The 26,222-nt window shown below is 43.0% G+C and overlaps 1 protein-coding gene across 3 annotated transcripts in view, besides 1 other annotated feature; it reads right to left on the bottom strand.

Moving 5' to 3' along the window:
* Positions 1-26,222, bottom strand: part of TANGO6 (transport and golgi organization 6 homolog) — a 241,652-nt gene that overhangs the window by 199,196 nt on the left and 16,234 nt on the right. For all 3 annotated transcript variants that reach the window (NM_024562.2, XM_047434632.1, XM_011523327.4), the window contains exons 2-7: positions 25,463-26,103; positions 22,926-23,042; positions 18,767-18,908; positions 10,697-10,833; positions 7,707-7,869; positions 5,357-5,439 (exon numbers count right to left, since the gene is read on the bottom strand). In NM_024562.2, coding sequence (NP_078838.1) covers positions 5,357-5,439; positions 7,707-7,869; positions 10,697-10,833; positions 18,767-18,908; positions 22,926-23,042; positions 25,463-26,103 — 1,283 coding nt within the window. The remainder of the gene's footprint in view (positions 1-5,356; positions 5,440-7,706; positions 7,870-10,696; positions 10,834-18,766; positions 18,909-22,925; positions 23,043-25,462; positions 26,104-26,222) is intronic.
* Positions 19,067-19,226: a silencer, noted in NCBI's record as "fragment chr16:68900664-68900823 (GRCh37/hg19 assembly coordinates)". NCBI's record gives its function as "represses an EF-1alpha promoter that drives an FKBP-Casp9 reporter gene in an ReSE screen in HepG2 liver carcinoma cells {active_cell/tissue: HepG2}" and the evidence as "EXISTENCE:reporter gene assay evidence [ECO:0000049][PMID:32094911]".

Below are 26,222 nucleotides of genomic sequence, written 5' to 3'. Positions count from 1 at the left end.
GTAGCTGCTTCGGAAAAGTTTGGCAGGTCCTCAAAAAGTTAAACATACAGTTACAATATAATCCAGCATTCCACTCCAAGGTATACAGGCAAAAGAAACGATAACATAGGTTCACACAAAAACTAATAGCATACACCAATGTTTATAGCAGCATTATTCATAAGAGCCAAATGGTGAAAATGACCCAAATATCCATCAACAGATGAACAGATAAGTAAAATGTGGTATATCCATATAATGGCATACTTTTTGGCAATAAGAAGGACTGAAGTACTGCTTCATGCTGCAATACAAATGAACCTTAAAAACATCATGCTCCAGTGCAGTGGTATTTACAACTAATTAATCACAACCAGTTACAGATTTCTTTGACCCCTTTCCGCTCCGACTGCTTCACTTGACTAGACTTGAAAGAAGCCAATCACAAAAGACCATAAATTCTATGATTCCATTGATATGAAATGTCCAGAATAGGCAAATCTATAGAGACAGAAAATAGATGAGTGGTTGCCTAAGGCTATGAGCAGAGTTGGGAGAATGGAGAATGACAGCTAATGGATACGAGTTTCTTTTAAGGGGAACAAAAATATTCTAAAATTAGACTGACAATGGTTGCAAAACCCTATGAACATACTAAAAAACACTGAGCTGTACACTTGAAATGAGTGGACTGTATGTTACGTGAATTTTTGTCTTAATAAATCTGTTAACAAGAATAAAAAGAGAGAGAGAAAAAAAGAGCTGGAAATGTTCCCAAATGCTTCTCTAAAATTAAACACTCTTTTGTTATCCTCCACGTTACCTAGTGAGCAGCTGGATCAATTTACCCATCCCCGATATTTTCCTTATTTCCTGCCTTTGAGCTGTACTCTATAATTTAGTATTAGCAGAAAGTTAATAGACACAACACATCCTTTGTTGTTAAATTTTACCCAGTGTTTACCATTTTCCTCCAACATACACATTTCCTGTTTTCCCACTGCAGCTGGCTGCCAAAACCTTGCAGAGAGAATAATTACCCTTCCACCCCTCTTAGTTTCACAACAGTGCCAATCCTTGGTGCATAATCAAGTGTCTACAGAAAACTAATGGTTTGCTTGCCTCTCCAGGGGGCTTTAAATTCGCCAAACTGTTGACCAAACTATAAAGGTTTCCTCCCTCTTTTTTGGGGACCAAGAATAGGAGAAATGGCAGGATTCATTATTTCCAGATCTCTCTCTGTTTTTTAGAGGATAACTCCCTTGCTAGAAAGAAATTATCTGTTTGCTTTTTTTTTTCTCCCTCTAAGTTTACTGACTTCCAAGGCATACCATAAAGGGTTTGCACCAAAATTTAGTCACAATTAGTCTTACCCCTATCCTGACAGTACTTTCAAGTCTTTCCAACATTCCAAACCCAACCACTTGGCAGTTTTTCATCATGCTATTTCTTAGATGGGACATGGTCTTTCTGAAAGTTAGTAGGCCACTGTTCGCTAATTTAGAACATCTGCTTTCTAGACTGCTCTAATAATTTCTTATCTCTCCATAATCTGAAAAGTCTACTAATATTCAGAACAGGATAGAAGACCCCTCTTTTCAGAAGTCTATCCATGAGACATTAAAAAATAAAAACAGCATTATATTCACATAGTCACCATGTCATCTTTCAATCTCTGAGCAATCTGATTCCATATTTGTGTGCCAGGTCAACCCTCAAAGGGTAGACTCCATTTTCAAAAATAGTGAAATTAAATACAAGGGTAGTAAACATTTCACTTTACAAATAAAGTGAGTGAGGCCGGGCACGGTGGCTTATGCCTGTAATCCCAGCACTCTGGAAGGACAAGGCAGGGGGATTGCTTGAGGTCAGGAGTTTGAGACCAGCTTGGCAAACATGGTGAAACCCTGTCTCTACAAAAAATACAAAAATTAGCTCGGCGTGGTGGTGGGTGCCTGTAATTTCAGCTACTGGGGAGGCTGAAGCAGGAGAATCGCTTGAACCTGGGAGGTGTAAGTTGTAGTCAGCCAAGGTCATCTCACTGCACTCCACCCTGGGTAACAGAGGGAGACTCTGTCTCAAAAAAAAAGAAAGAAAGTGAATGCTATGGAGAATGAGTTTGCATTTTCTATCTATGAATCTACTAGTACCATGCAGAACGCTTAAAGCAAAACAAAAGCATCTGCCTTCTTATCTGAAAGAATGTGATTCACTTTATACCCTCATATACTGCCGATGGGAATGTAAAATGGTGCGGTCACTTTGGACAACAGTCCAGAAGTGCCTCAAACAGTAAAACATAGAGTTACTACATGATCCAGCAATTCTATTCCTAGGTATATACCAAAGAGAAATGAAAACACAAATATACACAATAATGTTTACATGAATGTCCATAGCAGCATTATTAATAACAGCCAAAATGTTATTATGGCTATTATGGAAACAACCTAAATGTCCATTTACTGATGAATAGATAAACAAAATGAGGCATGTTAATACAAGAGAATACCATTTGGCAATGAAAAGAAATGAAGTATGGCTCCATGTTATAATATCATGCAAAGTGAAAAAAGCCAATCACAAAAAAAACACATATTGTACAATTCCATTTATATGAAAGGTACACAATAGGCAAATCTTGAGAGAGAGAAATTTTTGTATTCTTAGTAGAGACAGGGTTTTGCCATGTTGGCCAGGCTGGTCTTGAACTCCTTACCTCAGGTAATCCACTCATCTTGGCCTCCCAAAGTCCTGGGATGACAGGCATGCCTGTACACTTTATTTTTATTTTTTATCTTTTCTTTTTTTGAGGCAGAGTCTTGCTCTGTTGCCCAGGCTGGAATGCAGTGATGTGATCTCAGCTCACTGCAGCCTCCATCTCCTAGGTTCAAGTGATACTTCTGCCCCAGCCTCCAGAGTAACTGGGATTACAGGCACGTGCCACCACATCCAGCTAATCTTTGTATTTTTATTTATTTATTTATTTTGAGACAGAGTCTCGCTCTGTTTTCCAAGCTGGAGTACAGTGGCACAATCTCGGCTCACTGCAACCTCCGCCTCCCGGGTTCAAGTGATTCTCCTGCCTCAGCCTCCTGAGTAGCTCGGACTACAGGCGCGTACCACAACGTCCGGCTAATTTTTTGTATTTTTAGTAGAGACAGGGTTTCACCATGTTAGTCAGGATGGTCTTGATCTACTGACCTCATGATCCGCCCGCCTTGGCCTCCCAAAGTGTTGGGATTACAGGCATGAGCCATCGTGCCAAGTATTTTTTTTTTTAATAAAACTGGTTTATTGAAGTATACCTTAAAAACCATAAAATCATTTATTTTAAATATACACTTCAGTGAATTTTAGTAAATTTACAGATTTGCAAAACCATCACAATACAATTTTAGAACCTTTCCGTCATCAAAAGATCCCTTGTGTCATTTGTAATTGCTCCCTGTCCTACCTACTAAATTCACATACAGGTTTTTCTATGAACACGTTTTCTTTTTTTTTTTTTGAGACGGAGTCTCGCTCTGTCACCCAGGCTGGAGTGCAGTGGTGCGATCTCGGCTCACTGCAAGCTCTGCCTTCCAGGTTCACGCCATTCTCCTGTTTCAGCCTCCCGAGTAGCTGGGACTACAGGTGCCTGCCACCACGCCCGGCTAATTTTTTTATATTTTTAGTAGAGACGGGGTTTCACCATGTTAGCCAGGATGGTCTCAATCTCCTGACCTCGTGATCTGCCCGCCTCGGCCTCCCATAGTGCTGGGATTACAGGTGTGAGCCACCGTGCCCGGCCTATATGAACAAGTTTTCATTTCTCTTGGGTATATACCTAGTAGTGGAATTGCTGGGCCCATATGATAACTCCAGGTTTAACTTTTTGAGGAAATGTCAAACTATTTTCCAAAGCAGCTGTACCTTTTTATATGAAATACAGTTTTGAAAGCTGTTTTCTAATGTAAAAGTGTTCAGCAGTAAATTATTATAAATTTATTAAAATAAATTGTATTTATTATTTTTATTTTTTATAGAGCTCGGGTCTCACTATATTCACCAGGTTGGTCTTGAACTCCTGGCCTCAAGTAATCCTCCTGCCTTGGCCTCCCAAAGTGCTAGAATTATAGGCATAAGCCACCACACTGGGCCTAAAATAAACTTTAAAGAATATTTATCCTACTTCCATCTAGCCATAACACAATGAATTTCATTTGCTTTCCAAAAGCATATACCACATATATTTATAAGGCTGTGATAATAAAGAACATAACATTTAGATTCTTAGTTTTCATTCACTTTTTTTCTATGAATAGAAAAGCAAATTTTCATTCTTGTTATATATTTATGTAGTCATTTGCAGGAATCATTTATTCAGACTTAATTTGTTATGACAGTAATTACTATCAAAAGTTATAAAGTAGATTCAATTATCATACACTTTTAGGAAGACTATAGTATTGAAAAAGCCCCTGTCAATTTCTTTTTTTGTTTGTTTGTTTGGAGACAGAGTCTCGCTCTATCCCCCAGGCTGGAGTGCAGTGGCATGATATCGGCACACTGCAACCTCCACCTCCTGGGTTCAAGCAATTCTCCTGTCTCAGCCTCCTAAGTAGCTGGGATTACAGGTGTGTGCCACCAGGCCCGGCTAATTTTTGTATTTTTAGTAGAGATAGGGTTTCGCCATATTGGCCAGGCTGGTCTTGAACTCCGGGCCTCAGGTGATCCACTCTCCTCGGCCTCTCAAAGTGCTGGGATGACAGGCGTGAGCCACCATGCCCGGCTCCATGTCAACTTCTTCAATAGACATGCTTTCATCAGCGGCATTTGCCAGTTAGAGAAACTAAACTATTTCAACATTTAGAATAAATGATGTAATTAACAGGGTTTCAAAAATATATCAGTTTTTTCACTTAAAAAGGTCAGCTTGCCAGGCGCAGTGGCTCGCGCCTGTAATCCCAGCTCTTAGGGAGGCAGAGGCAAGAGGATAGCTTGAGCCCAGGAGTTCGAGACCTACCTGGGCAATATAGTGAGACCTCATTCTCCACAAAAAGGAAAAGCAACAACAACAAAAGACAAAAAACGTCAGCTTACAGTTTCTGGTTTTCAAAGTGAAAACCAGACAGCTTGGAGCTTTAGATTAGTCATTCCAACGGTTCAAGTGCTAATTAAAAGGTAAAATTATTTTAAAAGGCTGGGAGCAGCGGCTCACACCTGTAATCCCAGCACTTTGGGAGGCTAAGGAAGGAGGATCGCTTGAGGCCAGGAGTTCAAGACCAGACTGGGCAACGTGGTGAGACCCCACCATCTCTACAAAAAAAGAAAAAATTTAAAAAAAATTTTAAATAAGAAGTAAATAAAAACATTAGTGACTCAGATTACCAACCTTAAACACATCCTCAATGCATCTACTAAGTTCTTCTTCTGTCACCAAAATAGTTCCTGGTACCATGTCACTCTCTGAAAGCTCTAGAAAATAAACACACAAAATTACCCATATTTAGTGCCTCACTGAATAGGACATACTAAAGCTAAGGAAGGAAGCTTTACTAGAAAGATGGCTCAGTAAGTAACACCTAAGATCAGAAAATGGTTATCATTGAACAATACACAATTCATACACATTTCATGGAATATATGATGCCACTGATTATAAACATGCATTGTTATTTTATGTATCACTAAGAAAAAACACCAACGTTGCCAATTACCTATAGCACATTATCACTTAGAATTTTCATTTTAGGCCAGGTGTGGTGGCTCACAACTGTAATCCCAGTATTTTGGGAGGCCAAGGCAGGCGGATCACAAAGTCACGAGTTTGAAATCAACCTGGCCAATATGGTGAAACCCCATCTCTACTAAAAATATAAGAAGTTAGCCGGGTGTGGTGGGGCAGGCCTGTAGTCCCAGCTACTCACGAGGCTGAGGCAGGAGAATCGCTTGAACCCGGGAGGCGGAGGTTGCAGTGAGCCGAGATTGTGCCACTGCACTCAAGCATGGGCAACAGAGTGAGACTCTGTCTCAAAAAAAAATTTTTTTTCATTTTAAACTTAATTGAATAAAAATTGGGGATTGGATGAAATGAAAATGGCAGAGTTGGCCAGGTGTGGTGGCTCACGCCTGTAATCCCAGCACTTTAGGAGGCCGAGGCAGGCGGATCACAAGGTCAGGAGACTGAGACCATCCTGGCTAACACAGTGAAACCCCATCTCTACTAAAAATACAAAAAATTAGCTGGGCGTGGTGACGGGCACCTGTAATCCCAGCTACTCAGGAGGCTGAGGCAGGAGAATGGCATGAACCTGGGAGGCAGAGCTTGCAGTGAGCCGAGATCATGCCACTGCACTCCAGCCTGGGTGACAGAGTGAGACTCTGTCTAAAAAAAAAAAAAAAAGAAAGAAAATGGCAGAGTTAATAGTTGTATCTAGGTGACAGGTACATAGGAGTTCATTATATAATCTCTATAATATGTGTTTAAAAATTTCCCTTCAAAAAGTTTTAAAATAGTTATATTTTATTTTTATTTATTTGAGACAGGGTCTTGCTCTGTAACCCAGGCTCTGGAGTGGAACTGTGTGATCATGGCTCACTGCAACCTCAACCTCCTGGGTCAAGTGATCCTCCCACCTCAGCTTCCCGAGCAGCTGGGAATACAGGCGTGCACCACCACGCCCAGCTAATTTTTAAAATTTTTTCTAAAGACAGGGTCTCATTATGTTACCCAGCCTGGTTGCAAACTCCTGGGCTCAAGTGATCCTCCCACCTCACCAATCCCAGCACTTTGGGAGGCTGAAGCAGGAAGATCGCTTGAGCCCAGGAGTTCCAGACCAGCCTGGACAATACAGAAATAAAAATTTAAAAAAAAGTTTTTAAAGTTTTATAATAAGTCTTTCTATTTATTTAGACATAGTTTTATCATATATTATTATTATTATTTTGAGCAAGGGTTGCACTCTGTTGCCCAGGCTAAAGTGCAGAGGTGTGATTATGGCTCACTGCAGCCTCAACCTCCCAGGCTCAAGCGATCCTCCCACATCAGCCTCCCAACTAGCTGGGGCTACAGGTGCTTGCCACCATGCCTGGCTAATTTTTATACTGTTTTTTGGTTAAGACGGGGTTTTGCCATGTTGCCCCAGTGGTCTCGAACTCCTGGGCTCAAGCAATCTGCCCGCCTAAGCCTCCCAAAGTGCTGAGATTACAAGCATGAGCCACCACGCCCAGCCATGATTCTTGATTGAATTCTGGATTAAAAAAAAAATAGCTCTAAAACAAATTATTGAAACAATTAGAGAAGTTTGAATGGAATTTGTATATTATATCAAAGCATATTGTATAAATGTTAAATTTCCTGAGTGTGGTAATCGCCTTGTGGTTATGTAGGAGACTGACATTTTTCTTTGGGGATGCATACTGTAGTATTTAGGGGTGAAGTGTTGTGATGTCTGCAACTAAGTCTCAAATGCTTCAGAAAAGACATGTTTATATGTATAGAAAGAGAGAAAGATAAAATAAATGTGGCCAAAATGTAAAGTTATTCGGTCTAGGTGATCTGTATATGGGTAGTTCAATATACTCTTCTTGAAACTTGTAAGTGAATTTGTCAAAATAAAAAGTTGGGGGGAGGGGAAGGAAAACTAAAGAGACTGATATAACACAGATTTAAATCATTTCAACGTGAAATACTGAAGAAGGTCCTTTAGAGGCACACACAGCCACCACACTTCCTCCTTTACCTGCTGTATTCAAACATCGATGAAGAGGAGCTAACACTGGCTGGAGCAAATACTTTGCTGCCAAATGTGGGCGTTCTCTTGACAAAGTTATAAAGGTAGTGGTGGCAACTCTCTGAAATTGTCGTGCTGTCAATTTATCTTGAAAGTGAAATAAATCCAGAACCTACAAAAAAACTACAAGAAGTAAATACCAGTTTTTTGCAAGGAATATGACAGTAACTAAAAACAAAAAGCATGAATTTCTTTAAGACAAAAAATAAATTCACCTCAATAACACTGATTCAACAGAATTCTTTTAATTTAACATACCCAGTATCAAAGGGTAAGAGAGCTGAACAGGCAGTGTTTTTATTTTTAATTAAAAAAATTTTTTGGCCGGGTGTGGTGGCTCACGCCTGTAATCCCAACACTTTGGGAGGCCGAGGCGGGAGGATCACAAGGTCAGGAGATCGAGACCATCCTGGCTAACACAGTGAAACCCTGTCTCTACTAAAAATACAAAAATCTTAGCCGAGTGTGGTGGCGGGCGCCTGTAGTCCCAGCTACTCAGGAGGCTGAGGCAGGAGAATGGTGTGAACCTGGGAAGCAGAGCTTGCAGTGAGCGGAGATCGCGCCACTGCACTCCAGCCTGGGCGACAGAGCGAGACTCCATCTCAAAAAAAAAAATTTTTTTTGCCCACCTCTCATACTTGCAGTGTTTTTATTAAATAATTTTATCAAATTTATAAAATACAGGCTCATTTTAGGCATACGCATAGGGAATATTAAGAAAACTCCCTCCACATTTTTCTTTTTCCTTTTTTTTTTTTTTTTGAGATGGAGTCTCACCCTGCCGCCCAGGCTGGAATACGGTGGTGCAATCTCGGCTCACTGCAACCTCCGCCTCCCAGGTTCAAGCAATTCTCCTGCCCCAGCCTCCCAAGTAGCTGGGATTACAGGCACATGCCACTACCCCCAGCTAATTTTTGTATTTTTAGTAGAGACGGGGTTTCACTATGTTGATCAGGCTGGTCTCAAACTCTTGACCTCGTGATCCGCCCGCCTCAGCCTCCCAAAGTGCTGGGATTACAGGCGTGAGCCACCGTGCCCAGCCCCACATTTTTCATGTATCAGATTTGCAAAGATCAAAAAAGTTTGTAACACATTGTGTGGGTAAAAATGTGGGAAAATAGGTACATAAAGCATATCGATCAAAAATTTAAATGCATAAAACCTTTGAACCAATAATTTCAATTCTAGGAATTTTTCCTATGGTAATACTGGTAGTTATGTACAAAGACTTATGGATATTAACTGTAGCATAATTTGTAATAGAAAAAGAATGGAAACAACTCAAATGTGCATCAATAACAGGCTGGTTAAATAAATTACAGTACATTAATATGATGAAATACCATGTACCCATGAAAATGAATGAAATGATCTCCAAGGTACACTGTGTTTTTTGTTGTTTTTCTTTTCAGATGGAGTCTCGCTCTGTCACCCGGGCTGGAGTGCATTGGTGCAAACTCAGCTCACTGCAACGTCTGCCTCCCAGGTTCAAGAGATTCTCTATCCTCAGCTTCCTGAGTAGCTAGGACTACAGGTGTGCACCACCACGCTTGGCCAATTTTTGTATTTTCAGTAGAGTTGGGGTTTCTCCATGTTGGCCAGGCTGGTCTCGAACTCCTGACCTCAAGTAATCTGCCCACCTCAGCCTCCCAAACTGCTGGGATTACAGGAGTGAGCCACTGTGCCTGGCCAAAGTACACTATCAATGAAAAAAAGCAAAATGAAAAGAGGGCATGCTGCATGCTATCATTTAGATAAAAATTAGCACTGGCCTGGCATGGTGGCTCACGCCTATAATCCCAGCACTTCGGGAGGCCGAGGCAGGCGGATCACCTGAGGTCAGGAGTTCGAGACCAGCCTGACCAACGTGGAGAAACCCCATCTCTACCAAAAATACAAAATTAGCCGGGTGTGGTGGCGCATGCCTGTAATCCCAGCTACTCGGGAGGCTGAGGCAGGAGAATCGCTTGAACCCGGGAGGTGGAGGTTGTGGTGAGCCAAGATCGCACCATTGTACTCCAGCCTGGGCAACAAGAGCAAAACTCTGTCTCAAAAAAAAAAAAAATTAGCATTAATTGTACCATCATGTGTATATGTTAATGTATGTGTGTATGCACATACATGTTAATATATACATACATTAACATATGCACATATGATGGTATATGCATAATACACAGAATATCTCTGGAAAGAAATTCATAGCAGTGACTACCTCTGAGGGACTGGAGAACAGGAATGGTAGGGAGACTTAGTTTTCGGTTTACTCTTTTATGCTTTTTAAATTGTTTGCCATGTTAATTTACCTTGTTTATTTAATATCTGCCTTTAAAAACTAACTAAAAACACATGGAGAGAAAAGATAACGAACAAGATGAAACTTGAGTTTCGTATTCTAGCTCTGAGAGCAAGCTGGGCAAATCATTTAGTAGTGGTGAGGCATTCTTTTTTTTTTTTTTTGAGACGGAGTTTCACTCTTGTTGCCCAGGCTGGAGTGTAATGGCTCAATCTCGGCTCACGGCAACCTCCGCCTCCCGGGTTCAATCCGTTCTCCTGCCTCAGCCTCCCAAGTAGCTGGGATTACAGGCATGCGCCACCACACCCAGCTAATTTTGTATTTTTTTTAGTAGAGACGGGGTTTCTCCATGTTGGTCAGGCTAATCTCGAACTCCCGACCTCAGGTGATCCGCCTGCCTCGGCCTCCCAAAGTGCTGAGATTACAAGCGTGAGCCACTGCGCCTGGCCTCGTCATTCTTAAACTGAACAATTAGGTCAGTCTCTTCCACCGGTTTTTATTCATTTATTAAGAAGGCTCCTCACTAAACAATAAACTTAAATATTATACTGCTTTTATCTCAATACTAGAGGAACATTAAAAGTCCTCTTTCTGTAAATAAGCAGATAATCCTCAAATGATCAATAGAAACAAAAAGATTTACCTGGGGGCAGATGTCCCTGTAGTAATTCTCTGGTGAAAGAGACTGCTGGGGACAAGAGGCCAAAATCTTTGCGATCAGGTCACACTTCTTCCAGTCAGCAGCCGTCACCTCAGCATCACTTCCACCAGCTGCTCCCGCTGGCACAATGGAGAGAGATGTTAGCAGCTCACAGCAATTCCCCACAGAAGGTCCCATGTAACAAATTTGTCTTAAAATTTAAGGTAAAATGCATTTATCTTTTCTATTGAAAATAGTTTATTTTTTTCTATAAGATAATCTACCCTTCTATACTTTCCTTTTTATGTTTTTTATTTCTTATTTATTTATTATTATTATTTTTTGAGACGGAGTCTTGTTCTGTCACCCAGGCTGGAATGTAGTGGCATGATCTCAGCTCACTGCAACCTCTTCCTGCCAGGTTCAAGCGATTCTCTTGCCTCAACCTCCCGAGTAGCTGGGATTACAGGAATACACCACCATGCCCAGGTAATTCCTTTCTATTTTTAGTAGAGACAGGGTTTTGCCATGTTGGCCAGGCTGGTCTCGAACTTCTGACCTCAGGTGATCTGCCCGCCTCAGCCTCCAAAGTGCTGTGATTACAGGCATGAGCCACCGCGCCTGGCCTATACGTTCCTTTTGATGCTAGTTTCTGGGAAATTCAGAGAAAAACTAGCACTTAGTCACTATAATGATATTATTCATATAACTGGAATACTAGCTTCACCATGTTTATTACTATTATTATTCTGTCTCCTTGTATGTATCATTTCATTTAAACTGTCTTAAGCCACAGCCGTAGAGTGACAGGGACCAGAATTACTTTACCGTCTTAAGCAATTATAAAATTGGACAAAATATATAAACAATGGTTTCCAGACAGTGGACAACAGGCAGCCCAGGACACTGATCCCTGAGAGAACGGAAGCAAACAAACTGAGCTTGACGACTGCCCTCGTTCACTGACTGGAGAGAGTTTTCAGGCGATAACAATAGCAGCCCAAATGAAGCCTGGCATCTTGTTCAGTGGAAGAAACATAGTTCAGAGTTCAGGGAGGCCAAAGCAGCTGGAATTTTCAGGGCAAAATACCAGAAGGGAGGAAGTTACATGTAGAGAGAGTTCCAAAGATCTGCAAAAGGGTCCTCTCTCAGGTCTTTGGTAGAGTATGATACACGTATGTGTGAGGAAAATACCAAAGCCTGGGGCAATAACCACCAGAAAGGAGTAGGGGGGAACAACCCCCACGGTTCATAAAGGCTGGGAAGAGTTGTGTTCCCACCAGCCAGCCTGGGAGGATCTCCTAATACACAGGGCAACAACTAGAATTCTCAGAAGTCTATTATCTTAGTACAATCTGTATTGTTACACTTAGTACAACACACTTAGTATAATACAAAAAGGGGTTAAATTACCTTAAAGGTTGCTGTAGAACCACACTAACAGAGCTGAAAAGCCAGGATCAAAGGGACTAAACTAATTCCAAGTAACTTAACTGCATTCCAGAACAAAGTCCAACTAAGGAATATAAAAATCTGGCACTCAGCAATGTAGAATAAAAATGTTCAGCATCCAGTCAAAAATTACCAAGCATATCCACATGAGGAATTATTATTCAGTCATAAAAAGGAATAATTTTTATGGAGGACTGATTCATTCATATTATAATATGACTAAACCTCGGCTGGGCACGGTGGCTGACACCTGTAATCCCAGCACTTTGGGAAGCCAAGGCAGGTGGATCACCTGAGGTCAGGCGTTTGAGACCAGCCTGGCCTACATGGTGAAACCCCGTCTCTACTAAAAATACAAAAATTAGCCAGATGTGGTGGTGGGCGCCTGTAATCCCAGCTACTTGGGAGGTTGAGGCAGGACAATCGCTTGAACCTGGCAGAAGAAGGTTGCAGTAAGCTGAGATCATGCCATTGCACTCCAGCCTGGGTGACAAGAGCAAAACTCTGTCTCAAAAACAAACAAACAAACAAAAAACATGAATAAATCTCAAAAACATTATGCCAAGTAAAGGAAGCCAGACACAAAGACCATGTATTGTATGAAATGCCAATACAGGTAAATCCAAAGAGACCAGGAGGTGAAGTAGTACTTACCAGAATCTGAGAGGAGGGGAGAATGAGGAGTGGTGATTGCTAGTGAGTATGAGGGCTTCTTTGGGGGGACATGGGGGGAGGGTTGAGGAAAATGTTCTGGAAATAGATATTGGTGATGACTGCACAGCTCTGTGAATATACTAAACACCCCAAACTGTACTCTTTAAAAAAAAAAAGTGACTTCTGGCCGGGTGCGGTGGCTCACTCCTGTAATCCCAGCACTTTGGGAGGCCGAGGCAGGTGGATCACCTGAGGTCAGGAGTTTGAGACCAGCCGGGCCAACATGGTGAAACCCCATCTCTACTAAAAATTTAAAAAAATATATTAGCTGGGTGTGGTGGCACAAACCTGTAGTCCCAGCTACTCGGGAAGCTGAGGCAAGAGAATCTCTTGAACATGGGAGGCGCAAGCTGTAGTGAGCCGAGATCGCGCCACTGCATTCCAGCCTGGGAAGTTGCAGTGAGCTGAGATCGCGCCACCGTTCTATGGTATGTGAATAACATCTAAAAAAAAAAAAAAAATTACCAGGCATGCAAAGAAGGAAAACAATATGGCTTATAATTAGAATAAAAAAATCAACAGAACCGGCTGTGGGCGGTGGCTCATGTCTGTAATCCCAGCACTTTGGGAGTCCAAGGCGGGCGGATCACCTGAGGTCAGGAGTTCAAGACCAGCCTGGCCAACATGGTGAAACGCTGTCTCTACTAAAAATACAAAAATTAGCTGGGCATGAGGACGCACACCTGTAGTCCCAGCTACTTGGGAGGCTGAGGCAGGAGAATCTCTTGAACCTGGGAGGCAGAGGTTGCAGTGAGCAAAGATCGTGCCATTGCACTCCAGCCTGGGTGACAGAGCAAGACTCTGCCTCAAAAAAAAAAGAAAAAAAAATCAGTAGAACAGACCCCAAAAAAACAGAGATAACAGAATTAGAAGACAAGACCATTAAGACAACTTCTTTTTTTTTTTGAGACAAGAGTCTCACCCTATCGCCCAGGCTGAAGTGCAGTGGCGAGATCTCGGCTCACTGAAACCTCCACCTCCCAGGTTCAAGCGATTCTTCTGCCTCAGCCTCCTGAGTAGCTGGGACTACAGGCACGCACCACTAATTTTTTGTATTTTTAGTAGAGGCAGGCTTTCACCATGTTGGCCAGGCTGGTCTCAAACTCCTGACCTCGTGATCCGCCCACGTTGGCCTCCTAAAGTGCTGGAATTTCAGGCTTGAGCCACTGCGCCTGGCCCATTAAGACAACTATTAAAAATTTGCCCTTGGCCAGGCACAGTGGTTCACGCCTGTAAACTCAGCACTTTGGGAGGCCAAGGTGGGTGGATCACTTGAGACCAGGAGTCCAAGACCTGCCTGGGCAATATGTCGAAACCCTGTCCCTACTAAAAATACAAAAATTAGTTGGGTGTGGTGGCGCATGCCTGTAATCCCAGCTGCTCAGAAGGCTGAGGCACCAGAATTGCTTGAACCTGGGAGGCAGAAGTTGCAGTGAACCAAGATCATGCCACTGCACTCCAGCCTGGGAGACAGAGCAAGACCCTGTCTCTGGGGAAAAAAAAATTTTAAAGACAGAGAAAAATAAAAAAGACATAGAGAAAAGAAGACACACACAAAAAGAGCATTAGTAATTGGCAGGACAACAGTAAACATAATATTTGGTGTCATTCAAATCTCAGAAAGAGAGATCTGAGGGGAGTACAGAAAAAAATATTTGAAGATAATGTCTGAGCAATTTCCAAATATGGCAAACACTATAAACCCACAGCTCCAAAAAGCAGAAAAAAAACCATAAAGAAACCAACACCACACCAAGGTACATCATAATCAAATTTCTAAAAACCAGCCATAAGAGAAAAATCTTAAAAGCAGTCAGAGGGAAAAATGGTATATCATTTATAGAGGAACAAAGATAAGAATGATAGCAGACTTTTCATCAGAAATGACACAAGCCAGAAGACAACAGAATATCTTTAAAGTACTAAAAGAAAAAATAAATGTCAACCTAGAATTCTATGCCCAATAAAAAATATCTTTCAAAAAGGAAGATGAACTAGACTTTTTCAGACAAACAAAAGCTAGAAAATTAATTGCCAGGCCGGGTGCGGTGGCTCACACCTGTAATCCCAGCACTTTGGGAGGCCGAGGCAGGTGGATCACCTGAGGTCAGGAGTTCAAGACCAGCCTGGCCAACGCAGTGAAACCCTGTCTCTACTAAAAATACAAAAAAAAAAAAAAATTAGCCGGGCGTGGTGGCTGGCACCTGTAATCCCAGCTACTTGGGAGGCTGCAGCAGGATAATCGCTTGAACCCAGGAGGCAGAGGTTGCAGTGAGCCGAGATCGTGGGCAACAAGAGCGAAATTCCGTCTCAAAAAAAAAAAAAGAAATTCATTGCCAGTAGACCTACACTAAAAGAAATGGCAACTAAAGTTCAGGCAGAAGGAAGTTTGCACTGAAATTTTGATCTACATAAAGAAATAAAGACCACCAGAAATGGCAAATATGCAGGTCAATATAAACCTGCCTCAAACCATTTTGGGAAAGAAACAAGGTATGAATAGATAACAACAAATATATACATGCACAAGTTGGGGGAACTCATAGGAAAAAGAGGGTTCTGATTTTCTTATAGTAGCTCTCAAATCTGCATGCCCTTAAGTGAGGTCTAACCCTTCTTGGAAAAGGAAGATGCAAAGACCTGTTTGTAAGGGACAACTTCTTATGGGTAACTGATCATTTGTTATTTCATTGGCCCTAGAAGCCACTGTGGGGAGAACTGAGGGGAGGCAATATTATAGCCACTCTAGACCAAATCTACCAACGTCTGCCAACCACACTGACCTCACTTTTGTCTGATGGGACCAAGGTACATTATGCCAGAAATGAAGTCAAGATTTATTCTTCTAGCTCTCTTCCTTCTTCCCCACATATCCAGCCCTTCGTTAAGTTTTGGCAACTCTCCTCCTTAAATATCTCTCAAACCCATTCATTTCTCTCCATTTCCATGACCACTGCATTAATCCAAGCCTCCGTGATTCCTCAGATGTCTGCCTTTTAACTGATCTCCCTGCTTCTGCTCTTACCCAATCCATTCTTCACAATACCTCCAGATAGATATTTCTAAACTGCAGATTTGATCATGTTCTCTCTTTCTTAAAACTGTTAATCGTTTCGCATCTCCCTCAGAATAAAGTTCAACATCCTGAACTCAGCCTATCAGGCCTCCCTGAGGTGGCCCCCAGCCACCATCCCCACTCACTGCGCACCACTCTACCTGCACTCTGCCCTCACTACTCTACCCACGTGGAGATTTCCTCAGAAGCACTATGCTCATTTCTACTTCAGTTCCTCATACATGCTACTCTCTCTGCCTATAACTATCTTCCCTCTCTCTTCAGCTAGTTAATTCCAACTCAGCCTTCAGGGCTCAGTTTAAATGCCATTTCCATAAAAAAAGCCACTAAGTTTGTGGTAAGTTGTTGCAGTAACAATAGGAAACTAACAGGCAGGGGATAAGGGAGATAAGAGACTGAACACACAAAAAAGGCAAAGTGTTCACCAGGATAAAAGTGAAGGGGATCCTTGGATGGCAGCTGAGTAGAAGGTAACCAGGATTGAGTAAAGCAAGTCAGAAGACCCAGAGAAAGATGTTTCCAAGAAGATAAAACTGATAGAATATCTGGTGGGTTTTTGTTTGTTTGTTTGTTTGACACAGGATATCGCTCTCCCACCCAGGCTGGAGTGCAGTGGTGTGATCATGGCTCACTAAAGCCACAAATTCCAGGGCTCCAGCAATCCTCCTGCCTCAGCCACCTCAGTAGCTGGAACCATAGGTGCGCACCACCACACCCAGCTAATTTTTGTATTTTTGGTAGAGATGGGGTTTCCCCATGTTGCCCAGGCTGGTCTCCTGAGCTCAAACTATCCACCTGCCTTGGCCTCCCAAAGTGTTGGGATTATAGGCATGAGCCACCATGCCCAGCCTATTTGATGTTTTTCAGTGTATTAAAAGGAGATTTAAACAAAAGAGGGACAGCTTGAGAAAAGATTAGTGATAAGCACATAGAAAACTAATCAGATGTACAAAAAAAAGATTAACTCCAGGAAGTACAAAAGATTATGTAAAAAAAGAAAGTAATCATAATATACAATATAGATCAGCTGTAAATAATAATCACAGAGTTACACTAATATAAACACTGAATATTGATCTAACCAAAACTGAGATATAAATATATTACGGAGATGTGAAAATAAAAATGTACTTGGGGGAATGATGGCAGTGTTATGAAAGAGAACAAGATCCTCTTCCACACATGGTGAGAGGTAGATACATGATGCCTGAAACTGAAAAAATTATGAATTCCCATATATTAGTTAGAAATATAGAAGTAAATGGCCAGGATCATGCCTGTAATCCCAGCACTTTGGGAGGCCGAGGTGGGTGGATCACGAGGTCAGAAGATCAAGACCATCCTGACTAACACAGTGAAACCCCATCTGTACTAAAAATACAAAAAATTAGCTGGGCGTGGTGGCAGGCGCCTTTAGTCCCAGCTACTCAGGAGGCTGAGGCAGAAGAATGGAGTGAACCCGGGAGGTGGAGGTTGCAATGAGCCAAGATCACGCCACTGCGCTCTAGCCTGGGTGAAAGAGCGAGACTCTGTCTCAAAAAAAAAAAAAAAAAAAAAAATAGAAATATAGAGGTAAATACCAGAAAAAACTCACTGAAAGAGTTCAAAGCAGTTGCTTCTAGAAATGGGAAATGGATTGGAATGATGCCGAGGACTGCTATTTTTCACTATAAGTCTCAGAGAACTATTTGACTTTAAATGATGTACATGTCTAATTTTCTCTAAAAAATAAAAAACATAAATTAAAAACTACTACCATGCTTAGCATTAACTTTTTTCCTATTAATGAGAACTTAGATAATATAATTAGGGAAATGACTCTAAAACTTCATCCCAAAGTTTGCATCTCAAAGGTATTTCTGGCTTCAAGAAAATTATTTTACATTTAACTTTTTTTTTTTTTTTTTGAGACAAGGTCTTGCTTTTTTTGTCCAGGCTGGAATGCAGTGCCATGATCATGGCTCACTATAGCCTCGAACTCCTGGGCTCAAGTGATCCTCCTGCCTTAGCCTCCCAAGTAGCTGGGACCATAGGCGGGCACCACCATACCTGGCTATTTTTTTTTTTTTTTTTGTAGAAACAGAGTCTTGCTATGTGGCCCAGGCTGGTCTTGAACTCCTGGCCTCAGACAGTCCTTCTGCCTCAGCCTCCCAAAGTGCTGGGATTACAGGTGTGAGCCACCACACCTGGCTTTATTATTATTATTATGATTATTGAGACAAAGTCTCATTCTGTCACCTAGGCTGGGGTGCAGTGGCACGATCTTGGCTCACTGCAACCTCCACCTCCAAAGTTCAAATGATTCTCCTGCCTCAGCCTCCCAAGTAGCTGGGGTTAGGCGCCCGCCGCCATGCCAGGCTAATTTTTGTATTTTAGTAGAGACGGGGATTCACCATGTTGGCCAGGCTGGTCTTGAACTCCTGACTTTAAGTGATCCACCTGCTTTGGCCTCCCAAAGTGCTGGGATTACAGGCGTGAGCCACCGCGCCCGGCCCACACCTAGCTTTATTTAACATTTACTTTAGGGTTTTTACTTCAATTTTCTGTGTAATGTTTTCCCCAGATAGTATAAATTATTTGAAATGGCTTACAATATTGTTCAATAAAATAGGCAGTGTATCACAAGTGTTTTAGGAAAAGAGCAAGAGAATTAGTTTCTTTGGAAAAGAAGCTCATTAACGGCCTCTAAGTTTAACCTGTTCAATCCCTGCAAGGATGGAGTTTAGTTTCAGTCAGGTTTTAAAGGTAAATACTAAAGACCAATAATTCACCTCAGACTCTGACTCAAAGGAAAACAGATACCAAAGTCACAGCAACATTTTATTTCTTACCACCTGCTCCTTCCAAAATGCCCCGGACTACTGCCTGAACACCATTAGGTCTCATTAACCTTTCAGAGAGCAGCTGTCCACATAGACGCCGAAGCCAAGCTGGGGCCCGACACCTCATCTGTGTCTTCACATCTGTGCAGGACTGAGAAAAAGAAGAAGGTGTGAATTCTGAATGTCACTGAAATAGATATGATGGCCGGGCGTAGTGGCTCATGCCTGTAAAAAAAAAAAAAAAAAAAAAAAAAGGAGAAATAGCTATGATATGCAGACTTATTTATTTATTTAGAGATGGAGTTTCACTCTTCACCCAGGCAGGAGTGCAGTGGCAAAATCTCGGCTCACTGCAACCTCCACCTCCCGGGTTCAAGCGATTCTCCTGCTTCAGCCTCCTGAGTCACTGAGATTACAGGCACGTGCCACTATGCCTGGGTACTTTTTGTATTTTTAGTAGAGATGGGGTTTCACCATGTTAGCCAGGCCGGTCTCGAACTCCTGACCTCAGGTGATCCACCCACCTCAGCGTCCCAAAGTTCTGGGATTACAGGCGTGAGCCACCGTGCCCAGCTAGACATTACTTTTTTTTTTTTTTTTGAGACGGAGTCTTGCTCTGTCGCCCAGGCCGGACTGCGGACTGCAGTGGCGCAATCTCGGCTCACTGCAAGCTCCGCTTCCCGGGTTCACGCCATTCTCCTGCCTCAGCCTCCCGAGTAGCTGGGACTACAGGCGCCCGCCACCGCGCCCGGCTAATTTTTTGTATTTTTAGTAGAGATGGGGTTTCACCTTGTTAGCCAGGATGGTCTCGATCTCCTGACCTCATGATCCACCCGCCTCGGCCTCCCAAAGTGCTGGGATTACAGGCGTGAGCCACCGCGCCCGGCCGACATTATTTTTTAAAAGTCCTGAGTCATACTGACAATTAACAGTGTGCTATACAGACTTCAAAAGAGCAACATTTTTTCCTTAAAAAAAAAAAAAACTTTACAAAACCTTCTTCTGCATTACTTTTAAGAAAGTAAAAAACAGTGAAAGTGAAAAATCAATGAAATTTCAAACTCAGAAACAGACAAACGCATCAGCAATTAAAATGTAGATCTTCGGAACACAAAGTTAATGCAAACAATCTCTGAATGTAGCTCTGACAAACAAATCCAGCTTCCAAGGAAGATTCTTATGAACGTTATTTGCCACTAAGAGGGTAGTTCACAACAGGGAGGGAGCATTCCAGCCCTTGCCTCTGTGGCATTAGCAACTCTGATTCCTGTGACACAGTTCAAAGAAAGAGTTGGATTTCTTTTTTTTTTTTGAGACGGAGTCTTGCTCTGTTGCCCAGGCTGGAGAGCAGTGGCACGATCTCGGCTCGCTGCAACCTCCGCCTCCTGGGTTCACGCCATTCTCCTGCCTCAGCCTCCTGAGTAGCTGGGACTACAGGCACCTGCCACCATGCCAGGCTATTTTTTTTTTTTTTTTGTATTTTTAGTAGAGATGGGGTTTCACTGTGTTAGCCAGGATGGTCTCGATCTCCTGACCTTGTGATCCACCCACCTCAGCCTCCCAAAGTGCGCCACCGCGCCCGGCCGGATTTCTTTTGTATTTCTTTCCTGCCCCAGTATGATCTGCAAGAAAGATAGTGGATTTCTTCAAGGACCCCTTTCTGGGAGTTCTGTGGAGCCACTGTGAATAAATAGACTTGGTGTCCCTTATTGCTGAGGGTGGAGTAAACTCACTTATTAGCTGGTTTTGGCATACACCTCTCAGCTCTTCTATCTCAGTTCCTCTTCTATCTTTTGAGAGTGAGTGCATATTTTGTTCTGCTTTTTCTTGTTGGGTACTTTTCAGAGGCCTATCCCCTGCAGAAGGTGCTGCAGTTTGAATGTTCTAGCCCTTATTTTGGGCTAGAACACTGATCATGTTGCTGTCAACCATTGCATTTTTTTTTTTTTTTTTTGAGACGGAGTCTCGCTCAGTAGCCCAGGCTGGAGTGCAGTGGCGCGATCTGGGCTCACTGCAACCTCCGCCTCCCAGGTTCAAGCAATTCTTTGCCTCAACCTCCAGAGTAGCTGGGATTACAGGCTCACACCACCACGCCCGGCTAATTTTTTGTATTTTTAGTAGAGACAGGGTTTCACCATCTTGGCCAGGCTGGTCTTGAACTCCTGACCTCGTGATCCACCCGCCTCGGCCTCCCAAAGTGCTGGGATTACAGGGGTGAGCCACCACGCCCGGCACCACTGCACTTAAGTATGTAAGCCTCAAAATTAGTAACAGAAATATTTCATCCTAACTCTCCTGTCCTCTCTCTTTTATTGAATTATTACCATTTACTGAGGGATTATGGTGTGCCAGGCACATCATAAGCAACTCCCATATAATCTCAAAAGGGACTTACAAGGAAGGCATTGTAATTATCCCTATCTTATGGGTAAGAAACCTGAAGAATGGAAAGGTTTACAAATTCAAACACCTGCACACGGGGGTTGAATGCCAGAGAGGCCTGATGGAAGGCTTACAGTAAGATTCTAAGGATGAGATGAAAATTACTCAATTAGGAGATATCTCTGTAGCCAGCTTCAGCTGGTCCTTGCTCCTGACCTACAGCTAATTCCTTTGGCTTCTCGCTCTTTTTCTTTTGTTTTTTTTTTAAAGACAAGATCTCACTCTGTTGCCCAGGCTGAAGTGCAGTGGCCCGATCACAGCTCACTGCAGTCTCAACTTTCTGGGCCTGAGGAATCCTCCCACCTCAGCTTCCAGAGTAGCTGGAACTACAGGTGCATGCTACCACACTTGGCTAGTTTTTTATTTTTTATCTTTTCTAGGGACAGGGGTCTTGCTATGTTGCCCACGTTGGCCTCAAACTCCTGACCTCAAGTGATCCTCCTGCCTCAGCCTGCCAAAGTGCTGGGTTTACAGGTGTGAGCCACAGTGCCTGGCTGGCTCCTCACTCTTTACACACCTAGATTCATAACGAAAATGTAGGTACTAAAAGCAAACAGACAATTCCATCTATATCATCAAATTAAATCATTTCAGATAAACTTTTTTTTTTTTTGAGACGGAGTTTTGCTCTTGTTGCCCAGGCTGGAGTGCAATGGCGTGATCTCATCTCGCTGCAACCTCTGCCTCTTGTGTTCAAGCGATTCTCCTGACTCAGCCTCCCGAGTAGCTGGGATTACAGGCATGCGTCACCATGCCCGGCTAATTTTGTATTTTTCGTAGAGACAGGGTTTCTCCATGTTGGTCAAGCTGGTCTCGAACTCCTGGCCTGAGGTGATCCACCCACCTTGGCCTCCCAAAGTGCTGGGATTACAGGCGTGAGCCACCACGCCCGGCCTCAGATAAACATTATTTTTAAGAAAACAAAGAAACTATCTTATCCCTAGCAGAATATATACTACTACATGTTTGAAACAAAGGAACTAAGAATAGAACCAATAATATATCTAGTTTTAATTTCTTGACTTCAAATACATTATCCATTCAAAGAATTAGTGTCCAGATAGTTGTGCTAAAAGAATGTTTTGTCAAACAGCAAATTTTAGTTAAAAAAAGAGAAGATCTAGTTTCAGAATGAATAAAATATATCTCACATAAAATTGCCATAAGTCTTTTTTTTGAGACTGAGTTTCACTCTTGTTGCCCAGACTGGAGTGCAATGGCATGATCTCGGCTCACTGCAACCTCCGCCTCCCAGGTTCAAGCAATTCTCCTGCCTCAGCCTCCCAAGTAGCTGGGATTGCAGGCATGCACCACCACACCCAGCTAATTGTTTTTTTGTATTGTTAGTAGAGACAGGGTTTCTCCATGTTGAGGCTGGTCTCGAACTCACGACCTCAGGTGATCCGCCCACCTCGGCCTCCCAAAGTGCTGGGATTACAGGCGTGAGCCACCGTGCCCAGCCAAAATTGCCATAAGTCTTAAAAAAAGTGATCATAATATTCTTGGGAAAAGTGTCCATCATTTCATTAGAGAAAAGGTCTTTTAAATTATCCTAAGGGTCAGCGTCATCTAGTTTTATAAATATCATTTTATGATCTAAAAGATGAAAAAAGGCTCAACTAGATCATTAAACAGGGAACTAAAGTTATTTAATTTTCCAGAAGAAGACAGCAAACCACACATTATCATTAATGAGTCACCCCCAAGAGTCCCTAGGCCTGAGTACCTGGGGTGGTCCTCCCTGGAGGATAAGCAGTTCCCGGACTGCTAAGGGCTGATAGACTTGATCCAGCATGTCTCTCAAGGCCCCCCTGGATAGGGTTCTCTCCTCTTCAGTTAGAACCTAAAAGAAATATGCACTTGGCTTTAGTGGAATTCAAACCAGGCAGACAATAGAAGGTAAAGTTTTACAACACTGTACAGAGATACTTGTGAGAGGAGCGGAAAGAAGGCTTCTATCCTCTCTTGATTTCCTTCCACATGGGGGAAGCTGTACTATTAAAACATTCCTGGTCCTCTCTCCATCTCGCTCACTCCACTTCTGGGCAGGTTATGAGACTGATCTTACGGCTGAGGATGGAGTAAACTCACTTACTGGCTGGTTTTGGCAAGCATCTCTCAGCTCATTCCTCTTCTGTCTTTTGACAGTGACTGCACATTTTCTTCTGCTCTTTCTTGCTGGGTATTTTTCAGAGGCATATCCCCTGCAGAAGGTGCTGCAGTTTTCCAGTGCGCCTTAAAATGGGTGAGTAGTGACAGTGTCTAATTCTGAAGAGCACTGTTTTGTCTCCTGCCAGGCGTGGTGGCTCACGCCTGTAATCCCAGCACTTTGGGAGGCCGAGGGGGGCGGATCTCCTGAGGTCAGGAGTTCGAGACCAGCCTGGCCAACATGGCAAAACCCTGCCTCTACTAAAAATACAAAAATTAGTCAGGCGTGGTGGTGTGTGCCTGTAATCCCAGCTACTAAGGAAGCTGAACCCGGGAGGCGGAGGTTACAGTGAGTCAAGATTGCACCACTGCACTCCAGCTTGGGCAACAGAGCAAGCCTCCATCTCAAAAATAATAAATACATAAGTAAGTAAGCAAGCTGGATATGGTGGCACATGCCTGTAATCCCAGCTACTCGGGAGGCTGAGGCAGGAGAATCTTTTGAACCCAGGAGGCGGAGGTTGCAGTGAGCCAAGATTGTGCCACTGAACTCCAGCCTAGGTGACAGAGCAAGGCTCCGTCTCAAAAAATAATAATAATAAAAATAAAAAAAAAATTAAAAAAAAATAGATGTCTCCATCTATAAGCTATATCCTCCAACTTTGCCTTTATGAGCAATAGAGGTAACATTGTTTATCTCTCTTACTCTTCTTAACTCTCTTTTAATTCATTTGGAACTTGGGCAGCAAAGAGGGGGTACAATTTTGGGGTACCCTTGAGCCATAACAGTACAGTTCTCCTTGGTGATTACTGCTCAGGGTCAAACAGTCAGGGTCCTGCCCATTACCGTTTCACATACTGAGGTATGGGTGCTACTTAGAACACAGCTATTGGTGGGACTTTGTCCAGCTTCATAATGTACACCCAGCATGTTTTCCCTCTGTCAACTCCTTCTCTTGCCGTCCTAGTTGGTTCTTTCTCTGTGTTTCCCTTTTCATTTCTCTCTCCTGCCTGAGATCCCTGGGCACAGTTTAGCCTCAGTAACAGTAATAAGACCTGTCAACCTGGGTCACACTACCTCAGGGAAGTGCAGGCAGGAGGTGCTGCTAGAAGTGTCAATACGCATAACCCTGCCGGAAGGAGGACGCACTCTGCTCCTATCACATAAAGGCCCCAGGGAGCTCAGAATTTCATGCCAACACTTGGATGATAGTGGCTTTTAGGCAAATGTTTATGAATGTAGGCAGGAGAGAGAAGAGAAAAGGAACAACGACAACGATGACACAGGCGGGTGACAGAGAAACGAGAACATTGTGAAACCTGGCTGTGGAGGCTGCGGAATCACTGCGCCTGGGGGCCGCACTGACCCTTGAGACATTTACATCTTAACGGCTTCTGCTGGCCAGTGCCTATGCTGATGCCAGTGGTCCTCTCATGGCGGGGGTAGTGCTTCCTGCTGCGTCATCCCTGTAAGTCTTATCTCCCCAGTCAGCATGTGAGTTATTTGAAGAAAAGGACCATGTCTTATGTGTCTATGATCTCCACAGCAACTTCTGTAGTCTGGATGCTCAACTGCTTACTGGACTGAGTGACAGCAAAAATGGGCATATACCCCTAACACCTAATAATAACAATGAACATTGACAGAGTTCTGCAGTGTACCAGGTGCTCTATATGTGTTATTTCATTTAACCCTCCCAAGCATTTAATGAGGGAGCCATGATACTAATATCAGTAGGAATTATCACTACTAGAGATTGGGCCAGATACTTGACACACATTATCCTTAATCCTCACAACCACCTTCCGAGGCAGGTATTATGATACACATTTTATAGAAGAAGAAACAGAGGCTCAAAGAAAAACAGCCTGCTATAGCTGTTTCCCAAAATGACAAGGGACAGGTGAAATGGACTCTACAGGTGTGCAAAGGACGAGAACCCAATAAATGAAACTTGCGCCCACCCCCAAAAGATTCATTTATCCATTGGATATGCTTTGGCATATCCAGTTCTGAAGAACTAAGAGTTGCCTTTTATAACAACTATCCACAAATATATACACACATTCATACACACACAATCTCTCCCTCTCTCTTTCTCAATGTATATTTACCTCTTCTGCAGGTGTTAGCAGTTTTCTTTTGGTTGGGCAGAATCCCAGTTGGCACAGACCTGCTGCGATATCCCCAAAGTGGTGGCAGAAGATCAAGCTCCCCAGAGATGTGTGCTGAGCAACATTCAGAAGGGCCTTGCAGCTGGTGTACAGTCTTCGAGTTGCATCGGGGGCAGCATCAAAACACACCACGTCTTGAACGACGGCACCAAATTCAGTTCTATATCTCAAAGGGACTCCAACACCAGGCATGAGATAGGGGCAGATACCCAAGGTAACTACAAACTGCAAAACGAACTGGACAGTCTTCTGTTGTGAGATACTAAGTGCATCGGGGCTCAGGGCAGGAGCAACTTCCGGAGTCCTAGGGTTGGGTTTACCTGGATTGAAATTAGCTGCAAGGCGGATCATGGTTTCCTTCAAGCACAAAAGCAACAACAAGGTTTGAGAGGTAAAACTCCAAGTGACATCCACAGAGTTTTGTGGCCATTCTGCCTTATCAGCAATTTCATCTCTTAGGAGTTTCAGATTCTTCCACTGAGGATCCTTCAGAAACTTGTCCTCCAAAGCAGACAGGTTAGATTTTAAAGTAGCCAACAAGACATCATGTTTTGTGACCTGTAGTGAACTTGAGCCCGAGCCTTTTGAAGAAGAAAAAAAGGAGAGTTTATACACATAGAAAACAAGCTGCACTTCCCCCTGTGGAATGCCCTGCCTACTCCAGTTCATCCTCGCAGGCCGGGCGCCACTGTCACTGGCT

Source organism: Homo sapiens, chromosome 16 (assembly GCF_000001405.40).
Source record: "Homo sapiens chromosome 16, GRCh38.p14 Primary Assembly".
Taxonomy (NCBI): domain Eukaryota; kingdom Metazoa; phylum Chordata; class Mammalia; order Primates; family Hominidae; genus Homo; species Homo sapiens.
The sequence above is the reverse complement of the archived record's forward strand: the minus strand, read 5'-3'. Positions and strand labels throughout refer to the sequence as shown.